Source organism: Homo sapiens, chromosome 4 (genome assembly GCF_000001405.40).
Source record: "Homo sapiens chromosome 4, GRCh38.p14 Primary Assembly".
Lineage (NCBI taxonomy): Eukaryota > Metazoa > Chordata > Mammalia > Primates > Hominidae > Homo > Homo sapiens.
This window is the reverse complement of record NC_000004.12, coordinates 115,594,568-115,610,222: the sequence shown is the minus strand read 5'-3', so window position 1 is coordinate 115,610,222 and position 15,655 is coordinate 115,594,568. Positions and strand designations below refer to the sequence as shown.

The 15,655-nt window shown below is 35.9% G+C and overlaps 1 annotated feature.

Moving 5' to 3' along the window:
- Positions 13,178–13,821: an enhancer, noted in NCBI's record as "OCT4-NANOG-H3K27ac hESC enhancer chr4:116517558-116518201 (GRCh37/hg19 assembly coordinates)". NCBI's record gives its function as "activates a minimal SCP1, AML or CMV promoter by ChIP-STARR-seq in primed H9 embryonic stem cells {active_cell/tissue: H9 hESC(primed)}" and the evidence as "EXISTENCE:reporter gene assay evidence [ECO:0000049][PMID:30033119]".

Genomic DNA, 15,655 nt, shown 5'->3' with positions numbered 1-15,655 from the left:
TCCTTTACTCATAGGGTACCATAGGATGCACTTTCTCTCTAGCAGCAAACTATAGGAACCCATGAGAGAAGTATCTTTCCACTGAATTCTGCTTAATTCTCCAGGCCTGGGTGGTTAATGATCATAAGAATTGATCATGTAGGCACATTCCTGCTAACAGCCGTGATAACTGATACCCAAGACCTAGTACAGGGTCCAGATCTATATTATAAATTTTGGTAAACATTTACAGATATATTTACAACATAACCTAATAGTACAGTGTGCCCTGTTTATCCAGGTGTATAAAACAACATCATCTGTCTGTGACATAAAGAACAATCCAAAGACCACATTTCCAAGGGATGACTAAAGATCAATCATCATTCCAGGACCCTTCAGAGTTATATAAATATTGAGTAACCCAACCCACTGTGTTAACATTTTCCTTTATAGGGTGACCATACAATGTATCATCCAAACCAGGATTCTCCTGAGAGTTAAAAAGCCTTATTATTAATACTCGGTATAAAACCATAAGCCAGCACCATATCATCTTCATTCAATGTGTTTTCTACAAAGAATAGAAAGTGCAAATTGTACGATTTAAGAGACCAGATGGTTTACCCTAAATATTTAACCTCTCCTCATGCATTTCTTCCCCAAGCAAGCATGGGAAACAAATGGTAATATTTGCAGTGTTGGGGGAAATGGAACCAATATGAAGGAAAACCAAGCTAAAACATGAAAGCAATTATATATAGAACAAAAGATCTAATAGGTAGATGCAATTTCTAGTTAGACAGAAAGATCAGTATATAAGCTAACAGTGAAGAAAATGTTTCTTTAGGAAAAATAAGGCAGATCTGAATCACTAGTAATCAAAACACAAGAAGTGAGGCTGATGCTTATTCGATTGAGTAGTGGGGCTTGTGGTTGAGACTCTTAGGCTTCTCTCAACTGGTCTTGGAGGAAGAGAACCCAGCATCTGACAAACTATCTTGTTTCTGATGTCTGAAACTTTATCCATCCTTATTTTAAGTCATTAAGCTTAAAACATGTGAATATATTGTAGGTACAAAATTACTAATCTTGTTTATATTAAAATTTGTTTATTAGATCCTATCTCATATAGCAACTATCAGAGAAGTTCAACGTATGAAGAAAACTACAAAGTAAGTTCTTAAATAAAAGAACTTACTTTTGTTTATGTGAGAAGAAGCTTAAAACTAAGACACTCCTCAGGGAAGGTAGGGTGGAACATTTAGACAGAATCTGTGAGAAGTCATTGTATTCTATTTGTGCCAGTAAGAGATTAACAAATAATCAACAAATACATATTGGACAGTAATAAAAAACAAAAAGAAAAGCAAGTAAAAGGACAGAGAAGTAGGGTGGTAGTACTTTTGACAGGTGACCAGGGAACCCTCTATAAGTATCAGAAAATAGGTAAAACAAAGATTTAGCATACAAGTTGGAGAAAGTCTTAGTGATATCTAGAGAAGAGGGTTTCAGATTGAAGAATCACCAGTTCACTAGCTCTAGCTTACTTCAGTATTACGGAAAAGAAAGAAGTAAATTTGTCTGGTACAGGGGTGGAAAATTGTGAGAAAGATATTGAAGAGAGAACCAAATGCTACTTTCATTTTAGATGTTTTGGGAAGTAATCACACCACAGGTATGACAGAGTATTACTTTGGCTTGAAAAGGATGATTATTAAGGGCTGGATTTGTTACCCCAAAATTTGTATATTGAAGCCCTAAATCTCAGTAATTCCAGAAGTGACTGCTTTGGGAATTGAGGCATTTAAGGGGGTAATGAAGGTAAAATGAGGTCATATAAGTTGGTTCTAATCCAATCTGAATGGTTTTCTTATAATAAAAGGAAATTTATATACACAGAGAGACACCAGGGATGCATGCAAACAGAGGAAAGACCATGTGAGGACACATAGAGAAGGCAGTCATCTGCCAGTCAAGGAAGAAGTCCTTAAGAGAAACCAAACCTGCTGACACTTTCATCTTGGATCTGTGAGGGAATAAATTTATATTTCTTTAAGCCATTCAGCCTGTGATTTTGTTATATCATCCCTAGAAAACTAACGCAATGACTATGATTCATATATGGAAAACAGATATTAGGAAGGTAAGTTTGAAATCAGTACAGGAGTGAAATATTGGTGACATGGACTGGAGAGGAAATGGTAAGTGGTAAGAGGTATTTAGGTACAGATAAAAATATGAATATATGTATTTATTACACATAATATGTATATATATGTAATTTCCTTATATATATGAGGAAATTATAGTCATGAGGATTCTCTGAGAAGGCAAATATGGGGTGTGACAAGTTTATTCCTCGAAGAAGGATAATCTCAAGATATTTGATCAGGATGCTTTATTTTTGTTGCATGTTGAAATAAATATTATTTTCTGGTCCAAATGTGTTTTAACAGGAACTAGCTCTGTTCATTGGTTTGTTTTTAATAAACATCTTTCACTGATAGAAGTATGCATTATACATTTATACACTAAAATAGGAACCAAATACCTTAATATTAGATTTAGTTAATCTCACCACTTCAAGGTGAAATTATTAGACAGCCTAATTGGAAATATATCCATGAGTGACAGTATGGCAAGGCTCTTTTCAGTTTTGAAGAGTTTGGATGAATTCCAGAGATCGGTGAAGAAATTAATTGCTTACGAGTTCTGGCACAAGTCTTCTCATCAGCACTGATTTTTTGAACAGCTATTGGAACAGGGCACTGCTTGCCAAAGTAAGGAGCCTGACAGTTTTGCAATTAGAGAGGATTGGGGGATGATACGTTGGTCTTAGGAGTCAATATGCACAGTGTACAAATTACATGCAAAGGCAAATTAACCATCATGTTTTAAAAATAATCATTTAATATTTCATTACTTAACATTTCTATCATTCATTTTTTCCCATAAGCGATTAAATATTTCTGGGCTTAGTTTTTCTGTATGTGTTTTCACAATATTGTTTGTGTAATTTAATTATTCCAGGGATTATGGAAAATTGATTCTTTATGAAAATAAGGCACCTGGCGGCATAAATAATGTTTGTAGAATTGAGTAATTTATTACGCCTAAGGCATTGCATGCGGTGAGCTTTAACTCAAAGTGATAATGGAAAACATCACCCTGTTCTCTGCAGGTTTTAAAAAATTCTCTGTGCTATGAAGGGACAAAGATAGCTTGTGTATAATAAATTAGATTTAAATTATTTATGAAATGTTAAATTTATTCTTTCATTATTCCATATGAACTTACAATTTATTTGCCACTCATCTTCTTGATTATACAGCCAAATGACATCTGTAATATACAAATATTATTTTCTAAATACTTGTATTCATTTGGTGTATGTTCTCTTATACACACACAGAAACACTGTCCAGTTTTCAGTCTTAGCTCTGATATGCATTAGTGCATATTTTTTGGGGAACTCAGGTTAATCTTTATTTTGAATCACCTTTTCATTAAGATAGGAAAAAGTTCATCTTAGTTAATGTGCTACTTATCTCCATTTTCAGAAGTGAAGATTTCCAGTTGAGTGAAAATGCTGGTAGGCCATTATACTAGTAGTAGGAAACACATGTAGCCCTGGCATCATTTGTCTACATGCATGTCAACCAAATTGTTGAGATGCCTCATTACATCTGTTTATTTGTTTCCAAATTGTAAATGTGAGCATGTTCTTCCCTACTGTCTCTAAAGACTCAGGATCAGCAGCACTCTGTAGTAATGTCAGGCTGTAGCTGAGAATCCATCTGCAATTTTTCATTGTGCTGGGATAATAGCTCTCAAAGAACCTCTGTATAGCCCAGAGTGACTGAGTTCATACATGCTATTTTTTTAATAAGCTTTACTGGATGCCTATAAAAAGCAGGGCACAGGACTTCTCTGTCTTCCACCACACAGGCTACAGACCCTAAACTGGAACATTGTTTTATCATTTGCCCCTTCTTTAGCCTAAATCCAGGAAAAATATTTTCTAGTCTTTAGAGGAAGTCTTCGTACTTGACAGATGCCCTGTTATAATCCCTGAATATCTATCAACAATTTTGTCTATGACTAGACTATCAAATTGCCTAATGTCATGGAATGTCAAAGGTTTTTTTTAAAAAAAACATGATGTATTTTTAAAAAGGTTCAATTGTGTTTGGTTATATACATCCCCTGGGAAAATCGGCACTGAAAGTATTAAATTATTGAATCCTAATAGAATTGAGGAGAGAATTTTAATCGTAAGAGAATTGAGGGGGAAAGAGTGAAAAGTAAAATGGAAAAAAGAAATAAAGAACACAAATTAATATCACTCAAAATTAAAATAATATATTTGCAATGTAAAATGATGTTTGTTCTTTAAAACAACCAACAGTGTATAGGTTTACAATATTTTAAACATGTGCAAGCACTTACAAGGAGACTTGATTTTCTTCATTTGGACTGTGGCTCCCAAACTGAAAGCAAATAATAAATTATTGGTTTCAAGTAGTCCTGCATCCTAAAGACAGAGAAGAGATCTCTGCTGCAGGATACACTAAACAGATATTAAAGGGTACTCTCACAAACAGCATATCATTGCCTCCATGCTTTTTTGTGGGTGTGGGGGGATGGAGTTTTGCTCTTGTTGCCCAAGCTGGAGTGCAATGGCACGACCTGGGCTCACTGCAACCTCTGCCTCCCGGGTTCAAGTGATTCTCCTGCCTCAGCCTTCGGAGTAGCTGGGATTACAAGCATGCACCACCACGCCTGGCTAATTTTGCTTTTTTTTTTTAATAGAGGCTGGGTTTGTCCATGTTGGTCAGACTGGTCTCGAACTCCCAACCTCAGGTGATCCGCCCGCCTTGGCCTCCCAAAGTGCTGGGATTACAGGCATGAGCCAAGGCACCTGGCCCATTACCTCCATCCTTTTAAATAAAAAGTAATCACTAAGGAGATTAAATAGACTACTACTTTTGAAGATGTATATAAATGAATATACATATGTTTGTGTATGTATATTCACATATATATATATGTACATCCAGGTATATGTGAATTATTTATAAAACAAAGAAAAGTTTCTATTGTAAAGAGAGCTGATGGTTTTCCTTGTATTTTCTTTCTCAACTCTAACTCATGGGGAATGAGAAGAAGTGTTTTTATCTGTATCAAGCCAGTTGAGGGTCTTCAAACTAAACACTGAAAGAGTTTGCTGTAAAGTCATGGAACCAGGGTATACTGACTCCATCTACACAAGTCAAAGGTGAGCAATGATGACTAGAATCACGACTGTGGGCAGCAGAGCAGGGATAGCTGACACCCCCAGAAACTGATGGGGTAAGGATGCCTATAACTCTCCTGTGAACCTGGCAAAATGGAGTTAGACTGAGCCATCTCTGTCTAATAGATATGCCTGAAAAGGCCAGGATATACAAACAGAGGTACCAAACAGGGGTTGTAGGAAGAATGGCCAATCAGAAGGAAAATTTCTTAATTAACAGTGTGAACTGCTGAAATGCACAGCAAACGAATTTTTTAGGAAATCCACATAAGCATCACCTAAGGGAAAGTGCAAGAAGTTTTGAACCTACCAAATAAAGATTAGTACATGACCCAATTACACGAAACCAATCATCTGAAAACCTTCCCTGTATCTTCATTGACCTCCCGAAACTTGCCCTGTCATACCAAAGGGGATAAAACAGCAAATAAGGAGAGAAAATGGGGAACCAGAAAGTGAAAGAAAAACATGTCTTCAGGGGATTATATTCAGGAGAAGTGTATGAAAAGACCGTAGGTGAAATAAAATTGTCTTACCATATAGAATCTAATTCATTCAAAATATGTTAAACGTAAGTATTATAAATGTGATGCTTATTTTACTGATGAACATGCATGATTCCTGACTTATAAAACTTCATATTAAAGATTGTAATAAAAATATCATTTAAAAAGTAACCCGAGTGTCAATCTTCCTCTTTCCTTAGTATATTAGGCCAAAAAGGAATTTGTCTTAATCATTTCCGAGGGCAGTTCTAGGACGTAGCTTTTTTTCTTTGCCATTCTCGTCTCCAGTGCATTCACTCTGCTGCTTTTGTCATGGCTGAAAATAGCAAAAGACTTGTATTATCTTCTCGGTGCTGGCCTTGCCATTTTAACTGAAGCAGAGGCGTGAATGTTGGGTAGGCCATCATTTATGTCAATGCTTTGCACTATTTTTACTCCTAATTCTATTATTCAAGCCTTTTCTTGGTGTACCAGTTTTTACTAAATATTTGAGGAGATGGATTAATGTTATTATACAATAGAATAAATAATCTACAGTGGATATGTCTCTAATAGTAATAAAAAGTTGGTTGTCAACCTTTCCCTAAGAAATTTCATGTTCACTAGCTTTCTACATCTCTACCTAGTTGGTCTTTTCACTTTTGAATTTGCATTGTCTTTTATCTCTTTTCTGTTAATTCCTATTTCAAAAATGCTGTATCATGTGCAGAGAAATTTACTTATGACCTTAAACTGTATCAAGTCTTTGCTCTCAAGCAGCTCATTTATTTTTATGAATTATTATTCATGAAGTAATTTCTCAGTATATATGTATGTATGTGTATGTAATGTTAATATAGATACAACTATAAAATGAAAGACCAATTTTCATCTACCTTATATCAATAATCCTCTTTCTTACTTCTTTATTAAATCCCACCTTCTTTGACCTTTACCAGCAGCAGTTATTCTATACACAATGAAAATTATAATTAGTACAGATAAATTTTTTTAAAAAAGAAAAGGTCTTCAGCAATTCTAACAGTGTCAAATGTCCATTATAGGATTGGTCAGAATTCTAACATGAAACAGAGGGTGACTAAAAATGCATAAATGAGGAGTTTAATGCAATGCTATTAATAAAAGTAAAGAAAAGCTTAAGAAAACCTAACACAGGATGGTGAATTGTACAGTGCTAGCAAGAGCGGTCATTCCTTACCACCCCTAGGCTGGTAGGAAATAGGGAACTAGTACTTATAAAATCTGATTGCTGGGGCTATTTTTTAAAAATGTGGTGAGCAATCACTGTCAAAGTACAGCCAAACAGAGATTCATGTGAGCCAGGATAGTAAATCCTGTGACTTCTCTCTTCAACTGTTCTTCAACCCCTTTCAGTTCCTTCCACTGGACAAACCCTCTTGGAAGGAGATTCAGGGGCTTTTTAGATGTCAGTTGTTAGCACCTGGAAATAAGTTTTTCAGTGCTTGTAACAGGATAGAGCAGGTAGAAATATGAATGTGGATGGACAACTAACAGAGTAACTTTCACAATCTTTTCACCTTTTTGCCTTTAACATTGACTCAGATATTTCATTTGAATGAAAGACTCAGGAAAGGTAGGAGGGCAAATACATTGATAAATTTACATAAAAGATGGTTGCTTTTATGTAACTAGTCATTAGGCCTAGGCAAAAAAATCTTTCGTGTATGACTTATTCTATATTCGTCTTACCCTCTGTATCTGCTGGTATATCTGCTGGTTGGATATTTTTATGTAAAGAGTTATATTGACACAAGTCTTCATTCCCATGGGTCCAAGTTTTCTGTGTTTCTGTCCTGATAGATTGACCATGATTATTCAGCATGGAAAAACTAGAATGAATTTTAGAGACGCTCTTCACTTTGCAATATGATTATATAGCTGTTCTTGACACCATTATGGAAGAGCAGCTCAATTTCCTTTTAGTAATCAAGATAAATCCCTTAGACAGTACATTAACTCCTCTCTGCCTGTTGGGTCAGTGTCATAGAAGGCTTGAATGAGAGGGGAACTTTCTTACCTTCTCTTAATGTAACAGAACGATAGATGGGTTCCCTGGTGAAAGCATTCCTCCTTAGGTACCAGGACAGCAAAACTTAATGACTCTAAGACAAAAGAAATAGAACATAACAATTTTATAAGTGGTTGATTAGGTATGATAGTGAGGGAAGTTATTCTCACTCACTCTCATGCATCCCAGTCCTTTGCTTTCTTTCCGTGGAGGAGACCATACCAAATGGCCCTGGGTTGAAGGTGGGGGTAACTATATTTTGGAGTTATCCCCAAACAGTACCAGTTCACAGCTTTTATTTTCATCATTTTGAATATTTTTTTCCTTTTCCTCAACAAGGTATAGTAGCTTACATGATAAGGTATATGATGACCTTAAAAAAAATACAATAAAGGCTATAGAACAGCTTCCTGTGCTTGCAGAAAATGTTTTAACCTACTGGCATCTTAACTGATTATACGATAAGCTATTTTACTGTTTTTCCAGGTTTGCCACTTCTAGGTAATGGAAAACATTGGAAGACCAGAGAATTCTTAAATATGAGTCCATGAGTCCACTTTCTTGATCTTTTCTTGGTTGAGGACTATGTTGCTGAGATACCAAGGAGACTAGTAAAACATTTCTACTAAAAGTGCAGCCTGCTCACAAGCACTGGTTGCTAAACAACTAATTACCAGTCTAGAACTAGAGAAAGTCAAAAATTGATAGAATATTTTAGAAACTTTTGTGGAATTTTGACATGGCTACCATATTCAAGTACATTTTCAATGGGTCCATTTGTGGCTGAAAATATTAAGGTAAGTTATAATAAAATTTATAGGAGACTAAGTATTTAGGAATCTCATTAAAAAGTTAATGGGGGCCTAAAAAATTCATGTAGTTCAGCAAAATAATCGAACTTAAAGAAAACCCCAAAATTTATAAATTACAAAATCAAATATTATAGTCATGAAACAAAACTAAAATGATATGCTTACTTTTAAAAAGGGTACATTTAAAAATATAGCTTCAAGGCAAGAAACAAATATTCATATTATGCTTCTGGTAATGAGCCAAGAAACATTTAAAATTTAATGACATACAAAGATTAAAACAAAAATATCCATTAAATAAAAACAGAAAAAACTGTACAGAAATGGCAAAAAAACAAATACCTGGTAGATTTTTTTAAAAAATAAAGTCAATGGTTGTTATAGTTAAAAACTGTACTCAGCAAGCCAGGATGGAAATCCTTAGATACCACCATAACATGGATTATAATTGAGAAGTTAGCTATCAAAGCTAAGCAATGCTTTCTCAGTAAAAGTCTCATTTAAATTAGTTTAAACATATTTAGTTGTTAAAAGTAGGAAAACTTTAAAAATACAAATGATACACTGTTTTTGTGGCTTGAGTAATCTATTTGTCTTTTAGACTTTTGTCTTAAATTAATGTGTCATATATCACATTAATATCAGGCTTCTCTCAGAAACATAAAATTAGACTTTGGAGATCCCTTAAAGTTTAAAAACACACACACACGAACATGTGCACACACACGTACATTTTAGAGATTAGTAAAATGTGGCTCCAAAGTTTAAAAATTCTATTCAAAGGAACAGAGCAGATATGAAGGCTGAATTAAGACTGAATGTAGAAATCATGACTTTATTTTCATTTTTTAATTCTCTTCATATGCCTGCAATACATACCTATAAAACATGGAACTACATGGTGGTGATGGTTCCACAATGTTGTGGATGTATCAGATGCCATTGAATTGTACACTTTAAAACTGCAAAAATGGTAAATTTTATATGTATTTTACCTCAAAAAAAGCATGCGTGAATGAGATAACACTACATTTGTTTTGAGTTACCATATTTTTAACACAAAGAGTAGAAATCTCATCTTTAAAATATAACCATTTTTGGATGTGCCACTTTTCCTAAGTAGCCACAGTATGTGACCTCTGATGAATTTTTCCAATAATGTGTTTTCCTTGGTACTACATGCCATTTTGCCAACAGGGCTTACAAATGATTAAGCTTTCCCTTAGGAGGAATTGTAAGAGTTGCTCAAGGAATACAGCTAATAATCTATTTAAACTAAGTACATGTTTTCCAATTATTGGTGAAGAAATTTTAAATTAAAATTGCTAAAAGTTTTTTGTTTTAATAAAAAATAATGACCTGACTTACAACTGTCAGGTTATAAGTTACTTATTCTCAAAAGAAAATTTTTTTTGGCAAATATTTATGAAAAAGGGAGAGTCTCAAATGATATTTGGATTGCATAAAGCCAATTGAATCACTGTGACATGGAAGGAGATACTTTGTCAAGATGAAAATAACCTTTAAAAGAGGATAATGGGGAGATGTCCATTTCACTTATTCTTTCATTCTATTTTTCATCTGTAATTTGACCTTATGCCAGTTTATCTTTGTATTTTGGATAGTAAGAGCTTCAGTGGAAAAGTAAACTGATCTCTTATTTTGTAAAATGTTTCTGTTGTTGCCATTGTTTTTCCAAGATAAACAAATAAGATACTATTAAATGTTATCTCCTTTATTTTTCAGAAAGCATTTTGTAAAGTTTAAATATTTTATTAGATGTTAAGGCTATAACAACATGATTTATTACAATAAAATAGTTACTTATGTCAAAATTGCAGTTAGAAAAGAAAATATAAAAATACTTTTGTAGATTAGAGACAATAATCACAAAGCCAAACAGATACTTTTATAGATACCATTAATTCAAGTCAATATCTGTAATCTTACCTCTACACATGAAGTATTTTTTGGCTGACCTAGTACTATGACTATTGGCTGTGTATTCCAAAGAATTTAAATACCAGATTTGGGTAAGGTATGTTACAGCATTCATTTGGCTTTTGGCAGTTTTTTCTTCTTACAACACAAATAATAAAAGCAAGTTGTTTTTTATGAAATAAGAGTAGCTCATTTATTTGATTGGATAACAGACCCTAAAAGGATGAATGGCTCTGGGAATTTTGATTTTCTTCTCTTTCAGCAAGGTGTGACCCTTCTTGGAAATGCCATCATGTGTTTATGCTGACACCAAAACAGGCTCATTGATTTTCCAGCTTTCTAATTCATGCAATCTCAGATTTGAAAGGACACAACAAAAATTTAGCCAAGAGTAAATCTAATTCTAATAAAATATGGTCCAAAGATATGTTCAGCTTATGATTAAAGTAAAATTTTATTGTGACTTTTTTTAAGAATCCAAGTGTTCTCCTACTTACCAGAGAATGATGATTAATGGCATATGTGAATAAATATACCTGTGAAAACAGACTCTTGTGATATTTCTTTTGGCTAGAAATTGTATTTGAATTATATCATATTGGAGCACTTACATCAAAACATTAAAAAGGCATTGTTTAAAAAACTAAAATGTGTAAGAAATTAAGTCTGAATCCTTTAAGACATTGTAACAGTTGTGAGACACAAGACTTATTATGGTCTTGTATTAGTCTGTTCTTGCATGGCTATAATACCTGCATGGCTAAGAAATACCTGAGTCTGGGTAATTTATAAAGAAAAGAGGTTTAATTGGCTCATGATTCCACAGGGTATACAAGAAGCATGACAGCATCTGTTTCTGGGGAGGCCTCAGAGAGCTTTTATTCATGGCAGAAGGCAAAGTGGGAGCAGGCCATCTTACATGGCAGGAGAAGGACTGAGAGAGATGTAAGGGAAAGGTGCTACACACTTTTAAACAACCAGATGTAGTGAGAACTCTGTCATGAGAACAGTACCAAAGGAATGGTGTAAACCATTCATAAAGGATCCACCCCCATGATCAAATCACCTCCCACTAGGCCCCATCTCCAACATTGGTGATTATGGTTTGACGTAAGATTTGGATGGGGACACAGATCCAAACCATATCATCCCACCCCTGGCCCCTCCCAAATCTTACATCCTTCTCATATTTCAAAATAAAATGATGCCTTTCCAACAGTCCCCCAAAGTCTTAACTCACTCCAGCCCACAGTCCAAAGTTTCATCAGAGACAAAGCAAGTAACTTCTGCCTATGAACCTGTAAAATCAAAAACAAGTTAATTACTTCCAAGATACAAAGGGAGCACAAGCATTGGGTAAATACTTCCATTCCAAAAGGGAGAAATCAGCCAAAAGAAAGGGGCTACAGGCCCTGTGCAAGTCCAGCAGGGCAGTCATTAAATCTTAAAGCTTCCAAATAATCTCATTTATTTGTCCCACATCCAGGGCACTCTGGTGCAAGGAGTGGGCTCCTGTATTTGTCTGTTCTCACACTTCTGTGAAGAAATACCTGAGACTGGGTAATTTACAAAGAAGAGAGATTTAATTGACTCACAGTTCCACATGTCTGGAGAGGCCTCAGGAAACTTACAATCTTGGTGGAAGGCACCTCTTTACCAGATGGCAGGAGAGAGAATGAGTGTGAGTGAAGGGGGAAGCCCCTTATAAAACTATCAGATCTCATGAGAACTCACTTAGTATCATAAGAACAGTATAGGGGAAACTTCCCTCATGATTCAATTATCTCCACCTGGTCCTGCCCTTGAAACATGGGGATTATTACAATTCAATATAAGATTTGGGTGGGGACTCAGCCAAACCATAGCATTCCAATGCTGGCTTCTCCAAAATCTCATGTACTCACATTTCAAACACATTCATGTCTTCCCAGCAGTCCCCTAAAGTCTTAATTCATTTCAGCATTAGCCCAAAAATCCAAGTTCAAAGTTTAATCTGAGACAAGGCAAGTCCCTTCTCCCTATGAGCTGTATAATCAAAGCAACTTAGTTACTTCCTAAATACAATGAGAATACAGGCATTGATGAACTACACCCATTCCAAATGGGAGAAATTGGCCAAAACCAAGGGGTTACAAGTCCCATGAAGGTCCAAAATCCAATAGAGCAATCATTAAACCTTAAAGTTTCAAGATAGTCTTCTATGACTTTGTGTCTCACATCCAGGTCATGCTGATGTAAGAGTGAGCTCCCACAGCCCTGGGCAGCTCCCAAAGTCTTGGGCAGCTTTGCTCATGTGGTTTCTCAGGGTTCAGGGTCTATGGCTGTTCTCATGGGCTAGAGTTGAGTTCCTGTGGCTTTTCCAGGTGACGGGTGAAAGCTGTCAATGTATCTACCATTATGGAGTCTGGAAGATGGTGGATCCCTTCTCACAGCTCCACTAGGCTGTGCCCTGGTGGGAACTTTGTGTAGAGGCTCCAACTCTACATTTCCCCTCTGCAACTACCCTAGTAGAGGTTCTTTATGAGGGCTTTGCCCTGCAGCAGGCTTCTGCCTGGACACCCAGGCTTTTCCATACATCCTCTGAAATCTAGTCAGAGGCTCCCAAGCCCCAGCTCTTGCACTCTGCACATCTGCAGTCTTAACACCATGTGGAAACCACCAAGGCTTATGGCTTGCATCTTCTGGAGCAGTGGCTCAAGCTGTACCTGGACCCTTTTGAGTAATGGCTGGAACTGGAGCAGCTAGAATACAGGGAGCAGTGTCCTGAGGCTGTGCAGGACAGCAGGGCCCTAGGCCTCTCCCATGAAACCATTTTATCCTTGTAGGCTTCAGTGCTTGTATTGGGAGGAACTTCTGCAAAGGTCTCTGAAATGCCTTGGAGGACTTTTCCCCATTGTTTTGGATATTAGCACTTGGCTCTTCTTTACTTATGCAAATTTCTCCAGTCTTCTTGAATTCCTCCCTAGAAAATGGGTTTTTCTTTTCTACCACTTGGCTGGCCAGGCTGTAAATTTTCCAAATTTGTATGCTCTGCTTCCCTTTTAAATATAAGTTCCAATTTTACATCATTTCCATACTCATGCAAATAAGCATACAGTGTTAGATGCCTCTAAAGAACCTCTGAATGCTTTGCTGCTTAGAAATTTCTTCTGCCAGATACGCTGTATCATCACTCTCAAGGTCAAATTCCACAGTTCCCTAGAGCGGGGGCACAATGACGCCAGTCTCTTTGCTAATGCATAATAAAAATGACCCTTGCTCAACCTCCCAATCAGTTCCTCATTTCTATCTGAGACCTCCTCATCCTGGACTTCATTGTCCATGTTACTATCAGCATTTTGATTATAACAATGTAACAAATCTTCAGGAAGTTCCAAACATTCCCTCATCTTCCTGTCTTCTTCTGAGCCCTCCACAATCTTCCAACCTCTGCTCATTACCCAGTTCCAAAGTCACTTCCACATTTTCAGGTATCTTTATAGCAATGCCCCACTCCTTGGTACCAATTTTCTGTATTAGCTATTCTTGCATATAAAGAAAAAAGTTTAATTGGCTCATGATTCTGCAGGCTGTAGAGGAAGCATAGTGGCTTCTGCTCCTGAAGAGGCCTCAGCAAACTTCCAATCATGGCAGAAGGCAAAGGGGGAATCACTTCATGTGGTCACAGCAGGAGGAAGAGATACTGAGGGAGGAGCTGCCACAACCAGGTCTCATGAGAAATCTATCATGAGAACAAAACCAAAGGGATGGCGCTAAACCATTTATGAAGGATCCACCTTCAAGATTCAATCACCTGCCACCAGGCCCCACCTCCAACATTAGGAGTTACAAATGAACATGAGATTTGAGCAGTGACTCAGATCTAAATCATATCAGGCCTCATATTTCAAGTGTTTTAAAAATGTTTAACCAAAGCTATTTTCCTATCTTTACAGTCACAGGATTGCTTTGACCAATTATTATTCAAAAAGATAATAATAGAGAGTAAGAATTTATTAATTATGATTTTAGGTGTTTTGAGCAATACTAAGAAAGTTAATTTTCTCCAAATTGTTTCAAAAAGCTTTTGTAATGATGACATTGCTGGATACTTGGTCCCTATCGTAAGTAAATTTCCATGAGAATATTACTGCTAATAAACTGAAATTTTATACATGTAATATATAATCACATACTCACTGTCACTTTGTGAGCAATAAGATTTTTAACTAAAAATTACTTTTTAAAAAAGTAAACTAACAAAAGTTCTTTGTATTTTATGAAGAGAAAAATTTCATACAACATAATTTTTATAAAATATAATTGTTATCTGGTTACTTCACTATTTTGAAATTAAAAATAAGCCAAATTTCTTATGGCCGGTTTCCCCTGGGTTTTGTTTTTTGTTTTTTTTTTTTAATTCTGCTACAGACATATCATTGAGGCTAAATCTAGCACAATTGTAGCATATATGTCTATTTTTTTTTTTTAGACGGAGTTTCATTCTTGTTTCCCAGGCTGGAGTACAATGATGCGATCTTGGCTCACCACAACCTCCACCTCCCAGGTTCAAGCGATTCTCCTGCTTCAGCCTCCTGAGTAGCTGGGATTACAGGCATGTGCCACCATGCCTGACTAACTTTGTATTTTTAGTAGAGATGGGGTTTCTCCATGTTGGTCAGGCTGATCTCAAACTCCCAACCTCAGGTGATCCACCTGCCTTGGGCTCCTAAAGTGCTGGGATTACAGGCATGAGCCACTGCACCCAGTCAGATGTCTATTTTTATAAGTCATCTAAACATACTTAACTATAAAATAAAATGACAGAATGTTATGAGGACATATGAGAGGAGGGTTCTAATTTTGACTGAGGAAAGGGATATGTGGAATTACTGGGGAAGAATGATTTTGGCAAAGTCAGAATTAAGCTCAAACCATTAACATTACTAGGAGAAACCAGGTACATTATAGAGTGAAATGATTTTAGGTGGAGGGAGAGTACATGCAAAGTCCCTAAGACTAAATATGTGTGCGTATACTTTAAATATTTATTTAAATTAAAGGCATTAGTTATATTTATATATCATTTAGAATAAAATTATGTAAATTA